This window comes from Homo sapiens, chromosome 14, assembly GCF_000001405.40.
Source record: "Homo sapiens chromosome 14, GRCh38.p14 Primary Assembly".
Classification (NCBI taxonomy): Eukaryota; Metazoa; Chordata; class Mammalia; order Primates; family Hominidae; genus Homo; species Homo sapiens.
Window position 1 is genome coordinate 31,720,067 of NC_000014.9, and position 26,438 is coordinate 31,746,504.

Below are 26,438 nucleotides of genomic sequence, written 5' to 3' on the forward strand. Positions count from 1 at the left end.
CCAATGTGGAAAGTGCCTAGATTATATGATTTTCCAGGCTAGTACCTTATTACTTTTACTTTGATTTATTCTCATCGCCCACTTCTCATAATTCTGTAAGTCCCACTAATTTTATCTTTGAAATCACTCTTAAATTTGTTCATCTCCATTCTCGCTATAATTGCAGTAGTTCAAGTCTTCGTCATCTAACTTGGAGTACTGCAATAATAACGTGCATAGCTGGTCTTCCTACCTCTGGACTCTTCTTTCAATGTATTACTCATCTTATGGTTAAAAATTATCTTTCTAAAACATGGATATAGTAATATATCCTCTGGTTTTAAAGTCTTTGATATTTTTTCATTGTCTGTGGCATAAGGCATTTGCCTGGTTTTCAAGGACATTCGTATTTTGGTCCTGTCTGTCCCTTTTAGCCTCATTATTCTCCTCTTTCCACATTCCACATAGGTAGCCTTCCCTGAAAACACTGAGGTGTTCTCAGAGTCCTTTGTGTACTTTGTTTCTTTTCCATTGCTTAGAACGTACTACCTCTCACCTCATTGGCTTCTTACTTTCTTCTTCAATGCTTCAGCTCAAATATTACCTATCCTTTAAAGCTGTGCTGTCCAATACAGTAACTACTAGCTATATGTGGCTTTTAAATTAAAGTAAAATAAAGTAAAAAAAATTCAGTTCATCAGTCGTAAGTATATTTCACATGCTCAGTAGTCACATGTGGCTAGTGGCTATTGTGTTGGACAGTACAGATTAAAGAAAATTTTTATCACTGCAGAAACTTCTATTGGACAGCACTGCTATAAAGTCTTTTATCAAATAATTAGTTTCCTCCTTAAAGTTTCCATAACCCTTACAATGAACCATTTAAAGAGCCCTTGAATTCCTTCATAGTAAGTGAGGGACACCAAGCCTTTTTCTTTTTATCACTAGCACCTAGAATAGTATGTGGCATGTAGTTCTATTTCAAGATGCGTTTGTTGGCTGATGAACAAATAAGTAAAAAATGACTCAAATTTTGGGGAGTCGTATGGGTTAATGGCAATGTTCGGAGGCTTTCAATTCTAAAGTAATGCTAATCCCCTTTTGTAAAGTGTGTAACTATTAGTTTTACTTCATTAGTACAAAGTCTTAGGCAAATTGCCCTGTTTCTCTGATGATTTTACTATCTAAATATTGGATATCTAAATATCTAAATACTGGGGAATTAAGTATGTTTGCCTTATAGAATTTAACATAAGGCCAACATTTACTGAGTGTGTGCCAGATATTTTAGACATTTCACAAAAGTATAAAGCATTTCCAGTAGATTCCATGCTATTGCCAGAGTTTATATTCCATGAATGGAGAGAACAAACGTTGAGCTGGCTTAGTATATGGCTGAAATTTTCACTGCTTTTATTTCATTTTCATAATAATTTTATTATGTAGGGTAATTTTTTTTTCTGTTTTTCAGATGAGGAAACAGAAGCATAGAAAAGCTAAGTAGCTTTCATAAGGTCACATATAGCTGGGAAGGGACTCTATTACACCTCAGGTGCATCTCTAGTAACGTTTTTTTTTTTAAACTTTTATTTTAGGTTCTGTGGTACATGTGCAGGTTTGTTATATAGGTGAACTCATGTCCCGGGGGTTTGTTGTACAGATTATTTTGTCACACAGGTACTAAGCCCAGTACCCAACAGTTTTTTTCTCTCCCTCCCCCCATTCTCCACCTTTAAGTAGACCCCAGTGTCTGTTGTTCCCCTCTTTGTATTCATGTGTTCTCATCTCTTAGCTCCCTCACTTATAAGTGAGAAAATGTGGTATTTGGTTTTCTGTTCTTGTGTTAGTTTGCTAAGGATAATGGCCTCTAGCTCCATCCACGTTCCTGCAAAATACATGACCTCATTCTTTTTTATGGATGCATAGTATTCCATGGTGTATATGTACCACATTTTCTTTTTTTTCTTTTGAGACAGAGTCTCGTTCTGTCGCCCAGGCTGGAGTGCAGTGGCACAGTCTTGGCTCACTGCAAGCTCCACCTCCTGGGTTCACGCCATTCTTCTGCCTCAGCCTCCCGAGTAGCTGGGACTACAGGTGCCTGCCACCATGCCCAGCTAATATTTTTGGTTTTTGTTTTTTGTTTTTTAGTAGAGACGGGTTTTCACTGTGTTTGCCAGGATGGTCTCAATCTCCTGACCTTGTGATACACCCACCTTGGCCTCCCAAAGTGCTGGGATTACAGGCATAAGCCACCACGCCCGGCCATGTACCACATTTTATTTATTCAACCTGTCATTGAAGCGCATTTAGGTTGATTCCATGTCTTTGCTATTGTGAATAGTATTGTAATGAACACATGTGTGCATGTGTCTTTATGGTAGAAAGATTGATATTACTTTGGGTATATACCCAGTAATGGGATTGCTGGGTCAAATGGTGCTTCTGTGTTTAGTTCTTTGAGGAATGGCCACACTTCTTTCCACAATGGTTGAGCAAATTTACACTCCCATCAACAATGTGTAAGTGTTCCCTTTTCTCCGCTACTTCGCCAGTATCTGTTATTTTTTGACATTTTAATGCCATTCTGATTGGTGTGAGATGGTATCTCATTGTGGTTTTGATTTGCATTTCTCTAACGATCAGTGATGCTGAGCTTGTTTTCATATGTTTGTTGGCTGCACATATGTCTTCTTTTGAAAAGTGTCTGTTCATGTCCTTTGCCCACCTTTTAATGGGGTTGGTTTTTTTTCTTATAAATTTGTTTAAGTTCCTTATAGATGCTGGAATTAGATCTTTGTCACATGCAGAGTTTGTGAATATTTTCTCTCATTCTGTAGGTTGACTGTTTACTCTGAAGATAGTTTTTTTTTGTTTTTTTCTGTGCAGAAGCTTTTAAGTTTAATTGCATCCATTTGTCAATTTTTGCTTTTGTTGCAATTGCTGTTGGTGTCTTTGTCATGAAATCTTTGCTTGTTCCTGTATCCAGAATGGTATTGCCTAGGTTGTCTTCCAGGATTTTTATAGCTTTTGATATTGCATTTAATTCTTTAATCCATCTTGAACTGATTTTTGTATATGGTGTAAGGAAGGGGTCCAGTGTGAATCTTCTGCATATGGCCAGCCAGTTATCCCAGCACTGTTTATTGAATAGGGAGTCTTTTCCTCATTGCTTGTTTTTGTCAGCTTGTCAAAGACCAGATGGTTGTTGGTGTGTGGCCTTATTTCTGGGTTATTTATTCTGTTCCATTGGTCTATGCACCTGTTTTTGTACCAGTACCATGTTGTTTTGGTTACTGTAGCCCTATAGAATAGTATGAAGTCAGGTAGCATGAAGCCTCTGGATTTGTTCTTTTTGCTTAGGATTGCCTTGGCTATTCAGGTTCTTGTTTGGTTCCACATGAATTTTAAAATAGTTTTTTCTAGTTCTGTGAAGAATGTAATTGGTAGTTTGATAAGACTGCCATTGAATCTGTAAATTGCTTTGAGCAGTATGACCATTTAAATGATATTGATTCTTCCTATCCATCCATAAGCATGGAATGTATTTCCATTTGTTTGTGTCATCTCTGATTTCTTTGAGCAGTGTTTTGTAGTTTTCATTGTAGAGATCTTTCACCTCCCTGGTTTGCTATACTTGTAGGCTTTATTCTTTTTGTGTCAGTTATGAATGAGATTGTGTTCCTGATTTGGCTCTCGGTTTGACTGTTGTTGCTGTATAGGAATGCTAGCAATTTCTGTACATTGGTTTTGTATCCTGAAATGTTGCTGAAGTTGTTTATCAGCGTAAGAACTTTTAGACCGAGACTATAGGGTTTTCTAGATGTAGAATCATGTGGTCTGCAAACAGGGATAGTTTGACTACCTCTTGTTCCATTGGGATGCCCTTTGTTTCTTTCTCATTCCTGATTGCTCTGGTCAGGACTTCCAATACTAAGTTGAATAGGAGTGGTGAGAGAGGGCATCGTTGTGCCAGTTTTCAAGGGGAATGCTTCCAGCTTTTGCCCATTCAATATGAGGTTGTCTAGGGGTTTCTCACAAATGGCTTTTATTATTTTGAGCTCTATATAACCTTATTTGAATTGTTTAATACATTTAATGCCACTTGGTATCTTTAGTGATATTCTTCAATTGTTCATGGCTAGTGTATGTCTTGGCTTTTGGATTTAAGAGAAACCAACAGCCTGAAAAAAATTTGAAGAAGGAAATTATAATGCCTCACTGTTAACATTTTGTGATCAACTGCTAAGGCCTGGTACTGTGCTTGGTTGGGCTAATGAGATCTAATAAAATCACTTTAAAGGAAAAACCGTAAGTTCTATGAGGAGTGGAATTCTCAAAGCCTTTTGAAGGCATTTTATTGATTATAATTATAATCTCATGCCACTGGCTCTTTAGCAGGTTTTTAAAAATGTCCTAAACCTAGCATCAGTATTATAAAGTTCCACTGTACAGTGCCCAGCATGGAGGTAGTATTCAGTAATGGTTTGTTTAATGAATTTTTGAAAAATAAGAGACACTGCTATTGGTAGTTATAATAGCTAGCATTGTTTGAATGTGTTCTGTTTGCCAAGAATTTTGCTCTGCTTTTTACTTGAATTATTTCATTTTGCTCACTAATTGACAATTTATTGAACACCTATAATGTGTTAGTTACTATGCTAGGGCTGGAGATACAGTGATGAAACAAAGACCTTTGTCTTGTGGATCGTACATTTTGGTGGTAGAGACAGAAACAAACAGATAAATGAAAACCGTATAGTATAACATTGATTAATGATCCATGCTTTGGAAAAAAAGGCAAGATAAGACAATTGAGAATGATCAGGGAAGGCTTATCTGAGAAGGTGACATTTAAGCAGAGACTTGAATGGAAGGAAAGGGAGTGAGCCATCCAGGTATTTGGAGGAAGAACATACAAAATGAAGGGAACAAGTGCACAAGTGTCAAGTGAGCAAGGAAGCCAGGGGTTATGTCATCTAGTATCTTATAGTAAAGATTTTGAACTTTATTCCAAATATGATAAAAGCAATTGGAAGTTTAGGGTAGTAAAAGGGACATGATTTGGTTGTTTTAAAAGGATTACTTTGGTGGCTTGTGTAGAGAATTGAACTGAGTGGGATTGAAAGGTAGAGGTTAGGAGAAGAATGAAAGTAGGTAGACCAATTAAGAGTACTCAAACAACCCTGTGAGATAGGTTGTATTATTGTCTCCATTTTTTGGTTAAAACACAGAGACAGAGAGGTCAACAGGCTTGTTCAGTGCTACAAATCCAGTTTGTTTTGTTAATTGCTATCCATTACTTCATGGGATTGTTGTGATAACTAAATGAGATACAGGCTGAGTATCTTTTATCCAAAATGCTGCGTACCAGAAGTGTTTTGGATATCAGATTTTTTTTGGATTTTGGAATACTTTCATATACATAATGAGATACCTTGAGGATGGGATCCAAGTCTAAACATGAAATTTACTTATGTTTCATATACACTTTATACACATAGCCTGAAGGCAATTTTATACATTTGAAATAATTTGGTGCATGAAACAAATCTTTGACTGCATTGACTGCACCCCATCACATGAAGTCAGATGTGGAATTTTCCACTTGTCGGGTCATGTCACTGCTCAAAAAATTTCAGATTTTGGAACATTTTAGATTTCAGCTTTTTTTTTTTTTTTTTTTGACTTGAGTCTCACTCTGTTGCCCAGGCTGGAGTGGAGTGGTGCAATCTTGGCTCACTACAATCTCCACCTCCCGGGTTTAAACGATTTTCCTGCCTCAGCCTCCCAAGTAGCTGGGATTACAGGCGCCCACCACCACGCCCAGATAATTTTTGTATTTTTAGTAGTGACGGGGTTTCATCATGTTGGCCAGGATGGTCTCGAACTCCTGACCTCAAATGATCTGTCTGCCTCAGCCTCCCAAAGTCCTGGGATTACAGGTGTGAGCCACCGTGCCTGGTCCGATTTCAGATTTTTGAATTAAAGATGTATTTTATCTAGAAGTGTCAAACATTGCTTTGTACATAGGAGTTGGTAAATGTTATGGCCTTTCTCATAAAAATAAATATTGCAAGTTTGAGAAGGACAGTTCAAGAAAATTTATGTAGCAATTACTAATTAATGGCCTAAAGTCATATAGAACCTGGTATTTGTACTCCTTTCCTTCCAGTCTTAAGGATTATGTCTTATAAAGATCTGTCCAAAGCACCGATAGAATTATTTTAGCCTTTAGGAGACAAAGTTCAGAGATATTTGATATAGCTGTCTTAAAGTATAAAGGGCTGTCATGTGAAACAGGGATTTGTTTTTTATGACCCAAGAGAGCAGAAATCTGATCCAAGGGTGAAAACTACTGGGAAGGTTATTTTGGCTCATAAAAATAAATATATTTCAAAAATAGAATGAATGCTCTATCAGTGGAACTGTTTGCATGTTGCTATATCATTTTTCTGGAATGTGTCAGGCATTCAGGGTTTTTTGTTTAGTTTGCAGATTTCTTCAACCTGAGATTCACTAAAATATAAGCTATATGAAAGCAGAGATCTTGTCTGTCTGGGGGACCACAGTATCCTCAATGTCTAGAGAGCACCATGCTTGATACACTTGTTGACTAAATGAATAATGAGTTAATTATTCTCACAGGTCATCTGGATACTTCATTCCTTCTCTTTGCCTAAAGTTCAGTTCTGATTTTTGATTGATGACTTGAGTGTTTATACTGGGTTAAAAATAAGGGAAACTATTGTGAATTGCTTTCTAGGAAGTCAAAGGCATCACTGCAGGGCTTCTCAACAGTGGCACTATCAATGTTTTGAGCTGATGATGCTTTGTCTTGAAGGGGCTGTCCTGTACATTGTAGGATTTTAGCAGCATCTCTGGCTGCTAAATACTCAACAGATATCAGTAGCAACCCCCACCCCCACTTAACAGTCATAGCAATAAAAAATATCTTCAGGCGTCACCAAACGTTCCTTTAGGGGCAAATCAGCTCTTGTTGAGTTAGCGAATAACCCACCAGAACACACCCATGCTAATAGATGAATCCAATATTTTCATTAGATAAAATTAAAGAAAATAGTGTCATTTAAGGAAAGCTCATTGTAAATTATTTATTTTAAGATGAACTGTGCACTAGTATGAGCTGTGTGTTGAGGCATGCCTGTAGCTTTATAATGAAGAAATTGTAGAATGCTCTTACGTATTTCTAATTTGTTTTGAAATATGATGAATTCAAGTTGATTATTTAGCTTTAGGTCCTCAGTAATGAAGGCTTACCATATTTCTCTTATATTGTTTTTTCAGCCCCAAATTACCTTGACAACCATTATATGTTGAAATACAGATGTGGAGAGTTCAAAAGGAGGGGTTGGTGGAATTAGTGGTTTGTAACTGTCAAAGACAAAGACATCATAAGGTATAACAGCAGAAAAGGACAGCAGCAGCAGAAAGCTGAGCAGGTGATCAAAGATTCTAGAAGCAGGAGACCCAAGGATTTTTTTAAAGTTATGTATATTTTAAAATTTATATTTTGGTCTTAGTGTAGAAGTATGATCATCTCATGATGGATATGGTTTCATAAGCAGTTATGGTATATGCTAGGCACATTAGAAATAAATTATTTTTGGGCCACACTTAGTTTGTACGTCTTGACTCCCCTTCCTAGTATTTACATTGATATTTCCTTTTGTTTAAATCCAAATAGCAAGTTCTAATAAATCCAAATAGCAAGTTCTAATAAATCCCTGCTTGTATTATATTTTAATTCAGTATGTTTTCTTGTCACATCACACTTTGTTTGTAACATATTTTACTAAACTATTCATGGTCCTGATTTAAGTATAAGCTGGGAACTGTTGCATTTTAATATACAACATTTGCATATATATTATGATGTAGTCATTTATAAAATATAATAGTCTTACTGGGCATTATTATAAAAGAAGCATCTGTCAGCATTTCTATTATAAAATCAAAAAATTTTAAGGAGTTTCTGACTTGTCTGTTTCTAAATTGCTTTGGCATAAAACCTGTATAGAAGCTGTCAACTGAAATCTAAATTTTGTTATTTATAGAAGGCAGAATTGAAGCTAGTTTTTTTTACTACTTTTTATCACTACATTAAAAACATTCATATTTTTTCATAGATTCAGGTGCTTTTTACTTGATATTTATTTATTTCCCATAAACCCAAGTGAGGAAATGGAAACTGAGAGCCACTCAAATGTACTTATTTATTTTCTTGTGTTGTATTATAAATTTATTTATTATTATTATTATTGTTAAAATAGAGACAAGATCTCGCTACATTTCCCAAGATGGTCTCCATCCTCCTACCTCAGCTTCCCAAAGTGCTGGGATTACAGGCGTGAGCTACTGCACCTGGCCATGTAAAATTTTTGATAGATTTATTTGAAAAGTATTTACCAAGTAGACGCATTAAGTATTTTGTTAGAACCACCTTGTAACATGATGGTGTCTGTATAAAGCCTGTAGGTAGCTAGATCCAGACTTAGTGTGAGTAGAGAAACTCAGTTAATGACTGCAAAGTAATATCAATTTAGAAGGGTCAAAGAGAAATAAGAACCCCTACTATTGATCACTAGACAACTATTCACTTTCTCAACCATAAGACCTGTCTCTGCAATCTCATTATAGCTGATACTTTTACAAGTGACTAACTTGGTTGATTGCTATCCCTTCCAGCTTTTTGTGAGATGTCATTGCTGTTACTGTAGTAGGTGATTCTTTCAAATTGCTTTTAAAAACTCTTGAAAGCCAAAGTTATTATCTAATTTTGAACCTGAGATTGGGGATCTTCTTATGAAACTGATTATTTATATAGAAGGTTAACATTAGTTACTATAGAACTTCAAACAAAATTGAAATAATTAAGGAGTTTAAGCACCTGAAATTGAAAGAGTTTACTCATTTATAATTATTCAACAAGTACGGCTGGGCACGGTGGCTCACGCCTGTAATCCCAGTGCTTTGGGAGGCTGAGGTGGGCGGATCACTTGAGTTCAGGAGTTTGAGACCAGCCTGGCCAACATGGAGAAACCCCTTCTCTACTAAAAATACAAAAATTAGCTGGGCGTGTGGCAGGCGCCTGTAATTCCAATACTTGGGAGGCTGAGGCAAGAGAATCACTTGAACCTGGGAGGCAGAGGTTGCAATGAGCCAAGATTGCACCACTGCACTCCAGCCTGGGTGACAGAGAGATGCTCCATCCCCCCCCCCCCCAAAAAAAAAGTCATTCAACAAATATGTATATCTTACCCCAGACACCATATGCAGAATATATGATGAACAAAATGGGTGTGGCCCTTAGCATTATAGGTGACATATAAGTAAACAAACATAGAATAAATAGTTCTTATTTATTTTGGTCAAGTTTAATAGTATTCCAAAGGCTTACCCTTTTATAAATAATCCACAATGCAGAAACCTACATTTGAATGTACAAATTTTTAATGTTTATTGGAATGTCAAGATTAAAACATATTACTTTAGTCATATGTAAACTCTTATTTCCACATTAATAGAATCTTTTTGCCTTTATATGTATTTTGTTATTGCTTTTGCCTAGGAACTTGATTTTTATGTATTTTTCTTGTATTCAGCCATCTTAACACTGTTATTTATTCTAATATTAAGTTGGTGTAAAAGTAATTGAAGTTTTTGCCATTTTTTTAAAATGGCAAAACTACAGTTACTTTTGCACCAGCCTAGTAACTTTTAAACAGAATTCCTAAGTAGGTGATGTTCTCTTTGACAGTGTTTATATCTCTTAATTGTTTTCCTTTTCTTATTGCATTATCTAGCATCATCAGTTGAATTTTGAATAATAACAGTGATAGTGGTCATCCTTGTCTCATATATGATATTGATGGCAGTGTTTCTCCTCTTTCACTATTAAGAGTGATGTATGCTGTAGGTTTCTAGTAGATCCTTTTTATTAAGTTAAGGGTGTTTCCTTTATTCCCAGTTTACAGAGATTTAATGATTAGAAAAAGTAAGGTTCTGTTGATATCATGGCAGTACGGCAATTTGGACCAATATTCATGCTAAGGACAATTTAAAAATTGGATAAAATATGAAAAATAGATTTTTACAATTATTTGGGAGAAGATGAGAACCCATAGGAATAAGCATATTCTCTCAAAATCACTTTTGTTTTAAGGATGTTTGTTGATCATAGCTTACCAGTTTTGAAGCTAAGTTCTGCCTTCATATGCTTCACAAGACTGAGGGGTGTAAGTCAAAATCTGGAGTTGGCCAAGGTTGAGAATTCTGCACTGTAGTTTGCTTGAACCACAAAAGGCTGAGCTTTCAGGGTAGCAGTGAATTAATGCTAATTTGGCTCTCCCAGAAACTTGCAAGACAACTTTCATCATCATCTGCTGGATCAAGTAATCTTTTTTTTTTTTTTTTTTGAGATGGAGTCTTGCACCGTCGCCCAGGCTGTAGTGCGGTGGCACAATCTCAGCTCACTGCAAGCTCCGCCTCCTGGGTTCACGCCATTCTCCTGCCTCAGTCTCCCGAGTAGCTGGGATTACAGGTGCCCACCACTATGCCTGACTAATTTTTTTTTGTATTTTTACTAGAGACTGGGTTTCACCGTGTTAGCCAGGATGGTCTCGATCTCCTGACCTCATGATCCATCCACCTTGGCCTCCCAAAGTGCTGGGATTACAGGCACCTGGCCTGGATCAGGTAATCTTAAATCTAGAATTTAGATTAAGATGGTCCTGGATTGTAGTTTTTCCAAGCTGTAGCAGAGACAAAAGAAAGTTCTCTTTGGAAGAGGACGTTGTCAGCCAATGTGTCAGTTTATTTTTTTTTTAAACACATTATTCAGTGCACAGGCAAAGATAATCAGGCATGGAAGGATAAAAGACACTTTGAGTAAAACCTAGTAGATACAACAGACGATAGAAATAGACTCAGTGAAAATGATACACTGGAATTGTTAGACATAGACTATAAAGCAACTAAATTTGCTATGTTCAAAGAAATAAGGCCAAAAATAAAAATCTAGCAACAAACTGGAAACTAAAAATTATCCAGCAGATATGAAAGCAGTAAGATAATAGTAAAACTGAAAAACACACTATTTAAAACTTAATCATTAGGTTGTACATGAGATTAGATATAGGTGTAAAGAGAATTAGTGAACTGGGAGATAGGTCAGAATAAACAGTTCACAATGCAATGTGGAACGATAAAAAGGGGAGCTCCAAAGAAGATGGTAAGAGATACAGATATTCAGCGCAAAGAACCAGAAATCCAGAGAGCCAGCTTGAATTCCAAATTCCATCATTACCTTATATAATACATTTGACACACATAATTTTTTATGCCTCTGGGTTTCAGCATCACTTCTTAGTGGGCACTGCTGTTAATGCAGTTTTTACTTATGTAGCATAGTCCAAAGATTGCTTAAGTTTTCTGCTGTAACTTCTCATTTTTTCCATTTAACCATTTAATGAAAACATTTACTAAGTATGTAATATTTGCCAGATCCTAAGATAGATGCCAGGAATGGATACAAAGAACAGTTTGTTCATTATAAACTCAAATACTGCTGTCATGTGTCAGCTTATATAGCTGGACAGCTGAGGCTGAATTCCTGGAAATGCCCCCTGTATTCTGAAAGCCTAGACTCAAATAGCATTTTGAGAACTATCCATTTTTATGACTTACATTTAGGAATAACACAGCCTCCTTTTCTAGCCTTCCTCAGAAGAGTATCACCAGAAGATACTCTGAAACTCTCAACTTGGTCAAATGTATAACATAAAGGAAGGATGGAATTTGGAATTCTAGCTAGCTCTCTAGATTTCTAGTTCCTTGCTTTGAAAAGGGAACTGGAGGCCGGACGCGGTGGCTCATATCTGTAATCCCAGGACTTTGAGAGGCCGAGGCGGGCGGATCACGAGGTCAGGAGAGCTAGACTATCCTGGCTAAAACGGTGAAATCCCGTCTCTACTAAAAATACAAAAAAGCCGGGCATGGTGTGCCTGTAATCGCAGCTACTTGGGAGGCTGAGGCAGGAGAATGGCGTGAACCCAGGAGGCAGAGCTTGCAGTGAGCCGAGATCGCGCCACTGCACTCCAGCCTGGGTGACAGAGCAAGACTCTGTCTCAAAAAAAAAATGAAAGAAAGAAAAGGAAACTGGAAGACCCAGGTTCTAGATCTGCTACTACTTATGCTGACCTCACTGTCCACTCCTTTAACTTTGGCAATTTCAAAAGTAATTAGTTAGATCAGACTCTGGGCAAATCATTTAGCTAGCCTATATTTCAGAATCTTTTTTAAAAACACTTTTTTAATACACTGTCAAAGATTTATTGTGCTTAAAAATGTGAATTAAAATATATTCTGAATTTTAAAAAATCAGAAATGAGTTTTAAAAATGGTTGATTTGTGGGAGTTCTTTATATTCTGTGTATGAGAGAGAGATTTTCTCAGTTTCTGGCTTGCTTATTTATCTTTAAAATTGTGTCATTTCATGGGTAGATTGTTTTTAACTTTGTAAGTCCAGCTTATCAATTTGTTCTCTTTTTTTTTTTTTTTTTTTTGAGATGGAGTCTCACTCAGTAGCCCAGGCTGGAGTGCAGTGGCATGATCTCAGCTCACTGCAACCTCCATCTCCCGGGTTTAAGCAATTCTTCTGCCTCAGCCTCCCAAGTAGCTGGGACTACAGGTGTGCGCCACCATGCCCAGCTAATTTTTGTATTTTTAGTAGAGACAGAGTTTCACCATGTTGGCCAGGCTGGTCTCGAACTCCTGACCTCAAATGATCTGCCCACCTCGGCCTCCCAAAGTGCTGGGGATTACAGGTGTGCATCACCGCGCCCGGCCTATTCTTTTATGGTTAGTACTTTTTTGGGTCCTAAGACAACTTTGCCTATCCCAAGCGTGAGGAAATTCTATGTTTTCATCTAGAAGGTTTTTGATTCTGGTCTAAGCCTATGATCATCTCAAATTAATTTTTGTGTATGGTGTGAAACAGAAGTTGAGGTTCACTTTTTCCTATACAGATGTCCAGTTTTCCAGAACCAAATGTAAAGATATTTTCCCCCATTTAATTGACTTAAAGCCTTGGTTGAAAAAAAATGTTTATATATATAGATAGGTAGGTAGGTAGATAGATAGATATCCCTCGTATGGAGTGGCTGCTTTTGAATTCTGTATGCTGTTGCCTGCCTCATACTACGTGTTCTTGATTGCTGTAGAGTAAGGCTTCTGGATTTGTTTGTAAAGATTATTTTGGGCATTTTAGATCATGTATATTTCCATAGCAATTTTAGAATTAGCCTGTTAATTTCTGCTAGGATTTTGCTAGGGATAATATTGACTCTATTGCTCAATTTTGAGAGAATTGCCATCCTAACAGTGTCGAGTCTTCTGATCCATGAATATTATATATCTTGTCATTTATTTAGGTATTTAAAAAATTCTCTCAGTAGTATTTTATAGGTTAATAAAGGTACATATTTTGTTGGTTTTATTTCTATTTTTTAATTTTATTTTTAATTATGTGTTTCTAATACAAAGAAACATAATTGAGTTTAGTATATTGACCTGTCATACTACATTTCTGAAATCACTTATTCTAGTAATTTCTGTAGATTCCATAGGATTTTCTGTATATGTAATCATGTCATCTAGGAATAGGAGAGCTTTCACTTTTCAGTATTTATGACTTTTCCTTTTCTTGCCTTAGTGCACTGACTAGGATTTTCAGTACTATGTAGAGTAGAAGTGGTGAGAATGTATTTACTCGTCTTGTATTGATCTCTTAGGAAAAGCATTTAATGTCCCATGACTAAGTAAATAATGTTAGCTGTAGTTATTTCATCGACATCATCCATCAGCTTCAGAGAGTTCTGTTCCTAGTTTGCTGAGAGTTGTTATTATTAATGGCTATTGAATTTTGTCTAATGATTTTTCTGCATTTGTTGAAGTGATCATCTAGCTTTTCTCCTTTATTCTGCTAATGTGATAAATTACATTAAATCAACCTTGTATTCCTGGAATTAAATCATTTTGTCATGATGTATTATTATTTTTATATTTTGCTAAAATCATTTTTCTATTATTTTAAGGATTTTCTGTCTATGTTCACGGGTGATGTTGTTCTATAATTTTCTTCACATAAAAGGCTTCAGAATCCAAATATCCCTTCACAAAGATTATCTGCCATATAATAATGTCCTTTTAAGCATGAGCACTTCTGTCTCTTGTCCTTCATTCACCCCAAGGATGACATTGGCTATTAAATGAAAGAAAGTGTCGAATTAGAGTCAGGACATTTGATAGCTGTTTCACCTTAGTATCTCCAATCTAACATAGAGAACAATCTCTGACTAGACCAGTGCACACAGTGGTTCTGGAAATGAAATGAGAAATGAGAAAGCTTCAAAAACCAAATTTCAAAATAAAAGAGTATTTCTCAAAAAAATTTTTTCTTCACATAATATCTTCATAACAGTTTATTGTTAAATTTAAGACTCTAGCTTTTTAGTTTCATATTTCATAAATTTCTTCATTTTAAGTTTCTTCTACTTTCTCAAGGTTTATTATAATTATTTTGTGCTTTTTAGTTGAATTTTTTGAATTATAAATATACGTGTCTATGAGTTTTCCCCTACATAAATAAGTAAATAAATATTGTATAGTATTTATAATCAAAGACATGAAATAGTAGCAAGAATACTATATACCTCAGTCACAGATAAGGTTCCAGTAATGGGTCTGTAGATATTCAGGGTTTCTGCTAGCTACTCCTCTTCTGTGAATCCTGTATGGTCTTTGTAGATCTGGCGTTTAACCTCCAGGTTATAACCAAGAAGACAAGTCAGTGATGATCAGATGACATTAAGTTTTATAGTCCCTACCATGCTAACTCTAGGCCCAAATTTGTTGACTTTACTACTGACATTTTGGACCAGATAATCCTGTATTGGGAGGGAAAGAAGATTGTCCTGTGTACTAGAAGGTGTTTAGTAGCATCTTTGGCTTCTGTCTTCTAACTGTCCATAGCAGCCTTACTTGTGACAATTAAAAATGTCTGTAGACGTTACCAAATGTCCTGGAGTAGGGTGAGACCAGAATTGCAACCTAGATGGCAACTACTGCTCTAGGTTGATTTCTTTTTGTCATTTATGTAGACCTAGTAGATTTCTATGTAATTTGTATATATATTAAATTACCTTTTCAATTAATAGCAAACCAGGAAGAACATGGCAAAGTCAACTGTTAGCTGCTTCAAACAGTAGAAAAATTACAGATTGGATATTGTCACTTGTACCTTATTTGGTATCACAAGTAGTATCTGAACCAAGGACGAAACATACACAGACTAAACATATGTGGAACCAAACACTATATGGTTCAAATAACTGAAAAGTATAGGGGATTGGTGTATGTCTATTTTGTGTCTGCTTCTTAAATGTTTCCCACCGTTTTATTAATCAGGGTGAAATACATTTAAAAAATTTTAAACATCAGAGTGAATGGCCAGGCGCGGTGGCTCACGCCTGTAATCCCAGCACTTTGGGAGGCTGAGGCGGGCGAATCACAAGGCCAGGAGTTCGAGACCAGCCTGGCCAACATGGTGAAACCCTGTCTCTACTAAAAATATAAAAATTAGCCGGGCGTCGTCGCGCATGCCTGTAATCCCAGCTACTCGGGAGGCTGAGGCAGGAAAATTGCTTGAACCTGGCAGGTGGAAGTTGCAGTTAGTCGGGATTGCACCACTGCACTCCAGCCTAGGCGACAGAGCGAGACTCTGTCTTAAAAAAAATCAGAGTGAATATAAATTCATAATCTTGGATAGAAAGACATATTACTTGTTTGTCATTTGTATGATAAATGTCTGAAATATGCTTCACAAACTGCTATGGTGGTGGCCCATAAAACATTATAAATAAATGGTAACTTGTTACAATAGGTATATATTTCAGAGGGAGTATATATTACTCAGTCTTCCTAACTTTTCCTCATTGTTAGAAATACAGTGGGGTTTTCTTTTTGGCCATTTTCCTCTCCATTATAAATAAGTGTTTGTCTGAAAAGTATTTTGTGCATAGAATTTTTTAAATATATAAAGCCAAATTGCTTCCCAAAAGGATTAGGCGACCTCCAAAGTTTTCTTGACATTGTTTTTTCCCTGCCACCCTAACTTAAGAAAACACTTTAATCATTTATTTAACATTAAAATGTGTAAAGTGTGCTAATCTTAAAATATTGTGCACACCTGAATAACTACTCTCAAGATCAAGATCTAGAACATTTTTAATATGTAGGAGGTTTCCTCTTGTGTCTTTATACTCAATACTCACTCTCAGTGGTAACCAGTATATGACTTCTTTAAATATTTATTAGTTTTGCCTGCCCTTGAACTTCATGTAGATAAAATCTTTTAATGTCTTCTCTCTTGCAGTGTAATGCTGAGATCCATCCATGTTTTTGCATGAATCCTCAGTGTATTCTTTTTTGTTGTTATATAGTATTACACTGTATTATGTACTACAAAATGTCCATTCTCCTGTTGACATCTGAGTTATTTCTAACTTGGGGCTATTATGAATAAGCTGCCATAAACATCCATGTGTATGTTTTATGGGATTCAGATGCACTAATTTCTTTTGTGTATATACCTAGAAATGTGACTGCTGGATTTTAGCTTAGGGATATGTTTAGTTTTAGTTGGTTCTGTCAAGCAGTTTTCTAAGGTAATTGTACCGATTTAATCTCCAACCATTCATATGAGAATTCCAGTTGTTCTACATCCTTATTAACACTTGGTTTATCTGTTTCTGTGATTCTTGCAGGTGTGTTTTGGTATCTCTTTGTGTTTTAAAAATGCATCTCCCTGTTGAGTACTGCTTATTGTCTACTTGGATATCCATCTTTGTGAAATGGTGGTTCATGTTTTTTGTTGATTTAAGATTGCATTGTTTGTTTTTTTCTTACTGATTTATAGGAATTCATGATATATTTTGGATATGCGCCCTTTGTCAGATGTGTTGCAGATATCAATCAATGGCTTGTAATTTCACTTGCTTAATGGAGTCTTTTGCTGTAAAATGCTCTTCTAATTTAGCTCAGGTTATCAAATTTTTCTATTCAGATTTATGTGTATTTTATTTAAGAAGTCTTTTCTACCTTATGAAAAATTCTGTTTTCTTCTAGAAGCTTGATTGTGTCAGCTTTTACATTTATGTCTATGATCTCACTCAAATTAACTTTTTGAATAGTGTGAAATAAGTGTCAAGGTTAATTATATTTTCCATATGGATGTCTAGTTGTTCCAGCACTTAATTACAGTGGTATCTTGGTTATAAATCAAGTGACCATATGTGTGATCACCACTCTAACCTTTGATAGCTGTCTCCCTAAGCATCCTACTTGTATATACTTATAACAATGTTTAAATAATTCGGGTTTGGCACAGTGGCTCACAGCTGTAATCCCAGCACTTTGGGAGGCCAAGGTGGGCAGATCACCTGAGGTTAGGGGCTTGAGACCACCCTGGCCAACATGGTAAAACCCCATCTATTAAAGATGCAAAAAAAATTAGCCGGGCATGGTGGCAGGTGCCTATTGTTCCGTCTACTCCGGAGGCTGAGGCACAAGAATCGCTTGCACCTGGGAGGCAGAGGTTGTGGTGAGCTGAAATCATGCCACTTCGCTCTAGCCTGGGTGACAGAGCAAGACTCTGTCTCATAATAATAATAAATTAATTATTTCTGTTCATGGTAGTCGCACTTACTTAACAGTTGAAGCTCTCCTTTCTTCCCATGTATAAGAGTATAGACAATTTGAACCAATAATTCTTCTATTTCTGAATTTTTTTGTTTTATTTATTCTTTCTTTGGAAATGGTTTTCATTTTTTATTTGTAAGCACACTTTTCACTTAAGAAATAAAAGTAATGGTTCAGTGCTGGCCTTTTACAAGTTTTGCATGATAACCTTCATATTTATATGTAACACTTGAGAATTTAAAAGCTTTTATGTTTTCAATAATAAACTTTTAAAATAGTGGTTGTCACTGCTTATATTATAACTCAACATATTCTGCACAAAGTATTTAATATGTTTAGTTTTGCTTACATTACTTCAACTTGTTTTACCTTCAGGTCATATCAAAAATATAGTGGGAGCTCTGGAAATTACTCAGGAAAGAGAATAATTTGAAAGTCAAGCTATTTGGAGGGCAGAGATAAGAGGTTGCCAGTTATATGGGTTTTATTAGGATTCTCTTCACCAGAGGCTACAACCTTACAGAACTGTGATCAGTGATTATGTCATGTGAATTTTTCCTTTTTGCAAACTAAGCTCTGTGAACCTAGATCTCAGATACATATGACTGGGGACTCTTGACAGTTCCTTTTCTTCCAGCTGTTTTATTTTATACTTTATTATTTGGTACACTTCCAGGTACTTTGAGAAACAGATTTAAATATTATCTCTCTATAAATTTTTTATACCAAAAGACAATGATTATCTGGACAGCCCAAGGCAGGAATATGTTACCTAATGCTCAAGGAGAGGAATTAACTTTAAATTCCAACATAAAACAAAAGGTTTTGACATCTCTGGTAGCAACTACTGTGTTTTTTAACTGATTAGGAATGATAATTTAAAAAATTTCCCATATGAAAAACTGTTTCTAAAATGTACTAAACTTTCTGATTTTTCTGTTTCCTTAGAGTTCTTCTTATAGTAGTGATTTATAAATTGGTATTTTTAAAAATTACATTTTATTGAATAGGTATATCCATTCCCTGTTTCATCAAGTTTCAGGGAGAAAATAGGGGAAAAGTCTGTTATATAGTATCTGATCATTTATAGTCAGCTTCAAAATTTTAGAGGCTTGAAGAATATGTCTATTATATATGAAACTGATATGCTAAATATAATAGACATATGTAGAGTGTAGAGTTTTTTATTTGTTTGTTTGTTTGTTTTGAGATGGAGTCTCATTCTTGTCACCCAGGCTGGAGTGCAGTGGCGCAATCTCAGCTCACTGCAACCTCCGCCTCCTGGGTTCGAGCAATTCTCCTGCCTCAGCCTCCCGAGTAGCTGGGATTACAGATGCCCGCCACCACACCTGGCTAATATATATATATATATTATATTCTATATATATATTATATTATATATATATATATTATATTCTATATATATATATTTTTTTTTTTTAGTAGAGATGGGGTTTCACCATGTTGGCCAGGCTGGTCTCAAACTCCTGACCTCGGATGATCCGTCCGCCTTGGCCTCCCAGAGTGCTGGGATTACAGGCATGAGCCACCGTGCCTGGCCAAGTGTAGAGTTTTTGAAAATATGTTGGTCAGTTAATTAGGCTAGAAAATAGAATGCATGTGAGTATAGGTATATGTGTATATGCATATAGAAATACTTCTAAAATTGGTTTTTAATAGACCTTTTAGAGCAGTTTTAGGTTCACAGCAAAACTGAGCAGAAGGTATACAGATTGTCTATATATCCCATGCCCCAACACATGCATAGCCTTTCCTACGATCAGCATCCTCCACCAGAGTGGTCTATTTGTTATACTTGATGAACCTACATTGACACATCTTTATCACCCTGAATCTGTAGTTTACATTAGAGTTCACTCTTGGTGCTGTACATTTTATAGGTTTTGACAATATATAATGACATATATCAACTGTAATAGTATCATACAGAATAGTTTCACTATCCTAAAAATCCTCTGTGTCCTGCCTATTGATCCTTCTCTCCCTCTGACCCCTGATATGCACTAATCTTTTTATTCCCCCACAGTTTTGCCTTCTCCAGAAAGTCGTAGTTGGATTCATACAGTATGTAGACTTTTCTGATTGGCTTCTTTCACTTAGCAGTAGCATTTAAGTTTCCTCCATGTCTTTTTGTGACCTTATGGCTTACTGCTTTTCAGTACTGAATAATATTTCATTGTTTGTGTATATCACAGTTTATCTAGCCACCCACTGAAAAACATCTTGGTTTCTTCCAAGTTTTGGCAGTTATGAATAAAGTTGCCATAAACATTTGTGTGTAGGTTTCTGTGTGGATATAAGTTTTCATCTATTTTGGGTAAATACCAAGAAACATGATTACTGGATCATATGGTAAGAGTATGTTTAATTTTGTAAGAAACCGCCTGTCTTCCAAAGTGGCTGTACCAATTTGCATCCCCACCAGCAAGAAATGAGCGTTTCTTTTGCTCCACATCCTCACCATCATTTGGTGGTGTCAGTATTCTGGATTTTGGTCATTCTGATAGATATGTAGTGGTATCTTATTGTTGTTTTAATTTGCATTTCCATGATGACATATAATATGAAACATCTTTTCATATGCTTATTTGCCATCCATATATCTTATTTGGTGAGATGTATTTAAGGTCTTTGGCCAATTTTTAAATTGGGTTGTTTGTTTTCTTGTTGTTGAGTTTTAAGAGTTCTTTGTATGTTTTGGATAACAATTCTTTATCAAATGTGTCTTTTGGAAATATTTTCTCCCGGTTTTTGGCTTGTCTTCTCATTCTTTTGACAGTGTCTTATGCAGAGCAGAAATTTTATTTTTAATGAGGTCTAGCTTATCAATACGTTCTCTCATTTGGTGCTATATCTAAAAAGTCATTGCCAAACCCCAAAGTCATCTAGATTTTCTCCCAGGTTTCATCTTTTGTAGTTGTATCACAATTCTTGGAGATTCTGTTCTGGTTCCCCTCATCCCCCCAGTCTTTTTTCTCTTTGCTTTCAGTTTTGCACCTTTCAACTGAGATATACTCAAGCTCAGAAACTCTTTCTTCAGCCATTTCCAGTCTACTAATATGTCCATCAAAGGCATTGTTTATTTCTATTGAAGCGTTTTTCTTCTCCAGCATTTCTTTTTATTTCTTAGAATTTCCATCTGTTTACATTATCTGTTGGTTTTTGCACACTGTTTACTTTGTCCATTAGAGCCCTTAGCATATTAATCACAGTTTAAAAAAATGTCTGGTCTGATAATTCCAGTATTATTGCCATGTCAGTGTCTGGTTCTGATACCCTGTATCTTCAGACTATGTTTTTCACCTCTTAGGATTCCCTGTACTTTTTTCTTCCTAGCCAGGCATGATGTATGGGTAAAAGGAATTGCTTTAAATAGGTTTTTAGTAAGGTATGGGCAAGTGCAGGGGGCAGGGGGAATATTCTGTAGTCCTATGAGTACATCTCAGTTTTTTAATGAGCCTTTGCCTCTGGAATGTGAAGTTCACTGGTGCTTCTCAGATCCCTGCTCACTGCCCTCCTCCCTCTTTAGGTGGGACAGAATGACTAGAGGGGGCTGGAGTTAGGTATTTCCCTTCCCTCTGGTATGTTCAGCTCCGATATAAACCCAGCAGGCTGGGTTCTGGTAAACTAGTTGCTTCTGAGAGTAGATCTTTGTAAGGGTAGAGTACTCCTGCATATTTCAAAATAGCTACTTCCCCCTTCCTCTTGCCAGAAGCACCAGCTTTTTCTCTGACATTCACCGTGAGAACCTGGCTGAGTTCATGCAGGTAAAACTCACAACAGTGTGGGGACCCCCATGTTACTGAGTCCTCCTAGAGTTTTTGACCCTCAGACTTGTCAACACTGAGCCTCCATCAATTTGTCATTTACAGTTTAAGTTTTTCTCCCATGGCACTCATTTCTGCTTGTAGGTTTCTACATGGATAAATTGTGGTTCTTCATATCTGCCTGTCTACCTGTCTAATTTTTGGGGCACTGGTTTGCCCTGTGACCTCACCTCTCTTACAGATCTAAGAAAAGTTGGTTTTTCAGTTTGTTCAGTTTTTTACCTGTTAGGACAGAGTTGCAACTTATAAGCTCCTTCCATGCCAGACGTGAAACCATCCCCAAACTGATTTTTTAAATATCCCATATCTTTATAAAAGTAATAGGAGGCAACCTAAAATAAAAATATAAAATCCTCTCCCTCCCCCTAAAAAAGCCTAAGACAGAAGATACACTTCAATAAATGCAGAGGAAGGAGATAGGAAACCCATATTAAAATATCCAGACAATAGATATGACCCTAATTTACCCAGAATTCTCAAGCTCCAGAGATCATGGCAGACAGAGATACTGTTAGAATTTGCCTAATTCTCCACTGGCACTATGAAACCAATTTTAACTATTGTGTACACACACACACACACACACACACACACACACACACACACACATCTTCCTTTCCCAGGTTCATGCCATTAGGACATCCACTTCTTATCTTTGTCTTTTATATTATCTGTTAAGTTGTATGCCAGTGACTTTCAAACTTGACTCTATGCCTGAATTACCTGGGATTCTTGTTAAGATGCAGATTCTGATTCAGCAGGCCCGAAGTGGGGTCTTAGATTTTGTATTATTAACAAGCTTCTAGATGATGCTATTGGACCATACTGCAAGTACCATGAAGGTTCTAAAGCAGCCACCAATATTTACTAAGAACTTTACCAGCTGGCCTGTAGTCTTTTCACATTGACCTGTGCCATAATCCTAGGTTATCTCTTTTATTTATTTTTCTGAGATGGAGTCTTACTCTGTCGCCCAGGCTAGAGTGCAGTGACATGAGCTCAGCTCACTGCAACCTCCACTTCCTGGGTTCAAGTGATCCTCCTGCCTCAGCCCTCCAAGTAGCTGGGATTACAGGTGTGTGCCACCAACCCAGCTGATTTTTTTTTTTTTTTTTGGTAGAGGTGGGGTTTCACCATATTGGCCAGGCTTCTGTTGAACTCCTGACCTCAAGTAATATGCCTGCCTCAGCCTCCCGAAGTGCTGGGATTACAGGCGTGAGCCACCGTGCCTGCCATCTCTTTTAATTATTTCATTTCAACTTCTATAAATTTTATTTTCACTGCATTTTTAAGCCATAATCTTACCTAGATTTTATCATTAGAACTCTCCCACCTCTAAATCCTGTATTTCAGGGTATTACTTTGATTTTATCTTTTAGCTTTCTTACTACCTTACTTATAGGGAGCTGGGTCTCTAACCTCAGTGAGATTTCCAGACCCTGACATCATTATTTTACCTGAGCCTAACAGTCTCCTTCTTACAGTATATTCTTTGCTGAACCTGAAGTTCACCTCCACCGTTTAAATGTCTTTCATACCTTCATCTTTCTTGTCTTTTGCTTACCCATCCCTGTATCAGAATTGCAGTTCAGCTTCTCCATTTCTTTAGCTAGGTTGCTGAATATATCTAACAGAAAATTATATTCTCCAGATTGGTGCCATTACAAATTTATGGTATTCATTCTCGGCTGGGCTCTTGTTTTTTTGTTTCATTTTGTTTTAAATTGAGACAGAGTCTTGCTCTGTCGCCCATGCTGGAGTGCAGTGGCGCAATCTCGGCTCACTGCAACCTCCACCGCCTGGGTTCAAGCAATTCTCTTGCCTCAGCCTCTCAAGTAGCTGGGATTACAGGCATGCACCACCACGCCCAGCTAATTTTTGTATTTTTAGTAGAGATGGGATTTCGCCGTGTTGGCCAGGCTGGTCTCGAACTCCTGAAGTCTGGTGGTCTGCCCTCACTGGCCTCCGAAAGTGCTGGGATTAGAGGAGTGAGCCACTGCGCTTAGCCGGTTGGGCTCTTAATGCTGCTGTTTTTTGACCCTAGACTTTCCTGGATGAGGAAGGCATTCTTTTGCATGCATCTGAAAAGTTTACCACTAGAGAGAAAACACTTTTGAGGAACTAAAGGAGATATTGTGTGTGTGTGTGTGAGTGCCCATGTAGAAATAAGGACGAAGTATTCTGGAAAATAGAAAATGTTGTTTAGTGTTTCTTAGCAGTTAACAAATGAAAGAGCCCCGCTCTTCAAGTGGCTCTTGCTATGTCTCTTGCTATTGTCAGGTTAAGCCATAACTCTCTGTTTCTCATCTTATGCAGTTTAAGGATAATATATTAGATGAATGCTGAAGAAAGTGTTAGTTATTTATCTAGGGGAAGGCTTAGCATCTAGATAGGGAAAGGATGAGGAAAAAGAGATATAAGGACAGCTTTTACCAAGAGAGATAATAGGAATGAAGTGAAAATGGGGAAAAAATGTGATCTCTTGGGTGAGAGAAGGTAGATTAACAAATGAATTTGAGGCTAAGTCACTCAGCCTTATGTCGTAGACATGAATATAAAGAACCTATTTTGTATTACAAATACTGTTAATAGATATATCATGGATTTTTACATTTTGTATTTAAACAGGCAGTTTGGAAATCTTCTGACTAAGCATTTTGAATAATTGATATTCAGAATATCATTTGTCATCTATGAAGATATTTGATGAAATGAATTTGCATTTAAACATTCGTGATGATTCTGAGTAGGAAAAATACACAGAAGAACAAAGCACTTAATTATGTTTCTTTAAAAATAAACGCCACAAAAAGCATTTAAAAATAAGATAAAATATAGTATGTAGAGAACAACTATATCTCAGAATTTAGATTATTTTGTAACTGTATACAGGATAATAGAATATGTATTTTAATGTATACATTATATTGAAAGATTTGTAGAATCTTTTTTTTTTTTTTTTTTTTTTGAGATGGAGTCTCACTCTGTCACCCGGGCTGGAATGCAGTGGCACAATCTCGGCTCACTGCAACCTCCGCCTCCTAGGTTCAGGTAATTCTCCTGCCTCAGCCTCCCAAGTTGCTGGGACTACAGGCATGCACCACCACGCCCAGCTAATTTTTGTATTTTTAGTAGAGACAGGGTTTCACCATGTTGGTCAGGCTGGTCTTGAACTCCCGACCTTGTGTTCCATCCACCTCAGCCTCCCAAAATGCTGGGATTACAGGTGTAAGCCACCACGCCTAGCCAAGATCTTGTAGAATCTTTAAAAAAAATCTTCAGACACAGCTTAAATATCACTCTTTTAACCCTTTGTAAATGAACTCAGTCTCCTTTCTTTCAAAGTTCCCTTTAGGTCTAGGTTATTTCTTTTTTTTTATTTTTATTTTTATTATTATACTTTAAGTTCTAGGGTACATGTGCACAATGTGCAGGTTTGTTACATATGTATACATGCGCCATGTTGGTGTGCTGCACCCATTAACTCGTCATTTGCATTAGGTATGTCTCCTAATGCTATCCCTCCCCGCTCTCCCCACCCCACGACAGGCCCTGGTGTGTGATGTTCCCCTTCCTGTGTCCAAATGTTCTCATTGTTCAATTCCCACCTATGATTGAGAACATGTGATGTTTGGTTTTTTGTCCTTGTGATAGTTTGCTGAGAATGATGGTTTCCACCTTCATCCATGTCCCTACAAAGGACATGGACTCATCCTTTTTTATGGCTGCATAGTATTCCATGGTGTATATGTGCCACATTTTCTTAATCCAGTCTATCATTGTTGGACATTTTTGTATTTTTTTAGTAGAGATGGGGTTTCACCGTGCTAGCCAGGATGGTCTTGATCTCCTGACCTCGTGATCCACCCGCCTTGGCCTCCCAAAGTGCTGGTGTTGATTTCTTTTTCAGCTAGTTTGTTATTGCTGTATGTAAATGCTACTGATTTTTGTATGTTGATTTTGTATCCTGTTACTTTACTGAGTTTGTTTAGTAATTATAAGAGTTTTTTGGTGGAGTTTGTGGGGTGCACGGTAACATATTCAGGCTTATGTACAAGGCATTTGAGGTCAGGGCATGGAAAAATACTGAGGCACTGTGTGTATGTTATTTGTGCATGAGACTAAAACTCCTTGACCCTGAAAACAGGACGGGAAGTTGAGTTCATGGTATGATAAGGAACGCTGAAAACAGCCTCCTAATAATGCAGTTTAAGTGTTTTTACAAGGCCACAGGTGTCTCACGACCCAGCCTCAAAAAAGCCATCTAGTGGATGTTTGTGGTTTAACAAGCCCTTTCTATAAGTAATTGGTGGGCGGATGCTGGGGCGGACTCTCTTAGAAAAGCTGCCCCTCACCCCGCTCAGCTGAAATTGTCTAAAAACTTCTTGGCATTCACTGCAAGCTATAAGCTCTGCAGAGTTAAGGGTTTTCTGTATAGAAAGTCATATCATCTGCAAACAGGGACAATTTGATTTCTTCTCTCCCAATTTGGATTCCCTTTATTTATTTTATTTATCTTGCCTAATTGCTCTGGCTAGGACTTCCAGTACTGTGTGGAATAAGAGTGGCAAGAGTGGGCATCCTTGTCTTGTTCCAGTTCCTAGAGGAAAAGATTTCAACTTTTCCTCATTCAGTAAGATGTTAGCTGTGGTTTTGTCATTTATTGCCTTTATCGTGTTTAGATACATACTTTCTGTACCTAATTTATTGAGAATTTTTATCACGAATGACTGGCAAATTTTGTTAAATGCTTTTTCTGTATTTGTTGAGATGATCATATAGTTTATGTTCTTTCTGTCAATGTGATGTGTCACAATTTGATACAAATGGTAA

The 26,438-nt window shown here is 36.8% G+C and overlaps 1 protein-coding gene across 10 annotated transcripts in view; it reads left to right on the forward strand.

The window, feature by feature from the left end:
- Positions 1-26,438, forward strand: part of NUBPL (NUBP iron-sulfur cluster assembly factor, mitochondrial) — a 299,821-nt gene that overhangs the window by 158,663 nt on the left and 114,720 nt on the right. Inside the window, exon 7 of one of the 10 annotated variants that reach the window (XM_017021666.2) lies at positions 7,285-8,995. The exons of the other annotated variants lie outside the window; for them this stretch is intronic. Coding sequence (XP_016877155.1) covers positions 7,285-7,317 — 33 coding nt within the window. The 3' untranslated portion in view covers positions 7,318-8,995. Of the gene's footprint in view, positions 1-7,284; positions 8,996-26,438 lie in introns of those variants that run through there. 10 annotated transcript variants of the gene reach the window in all.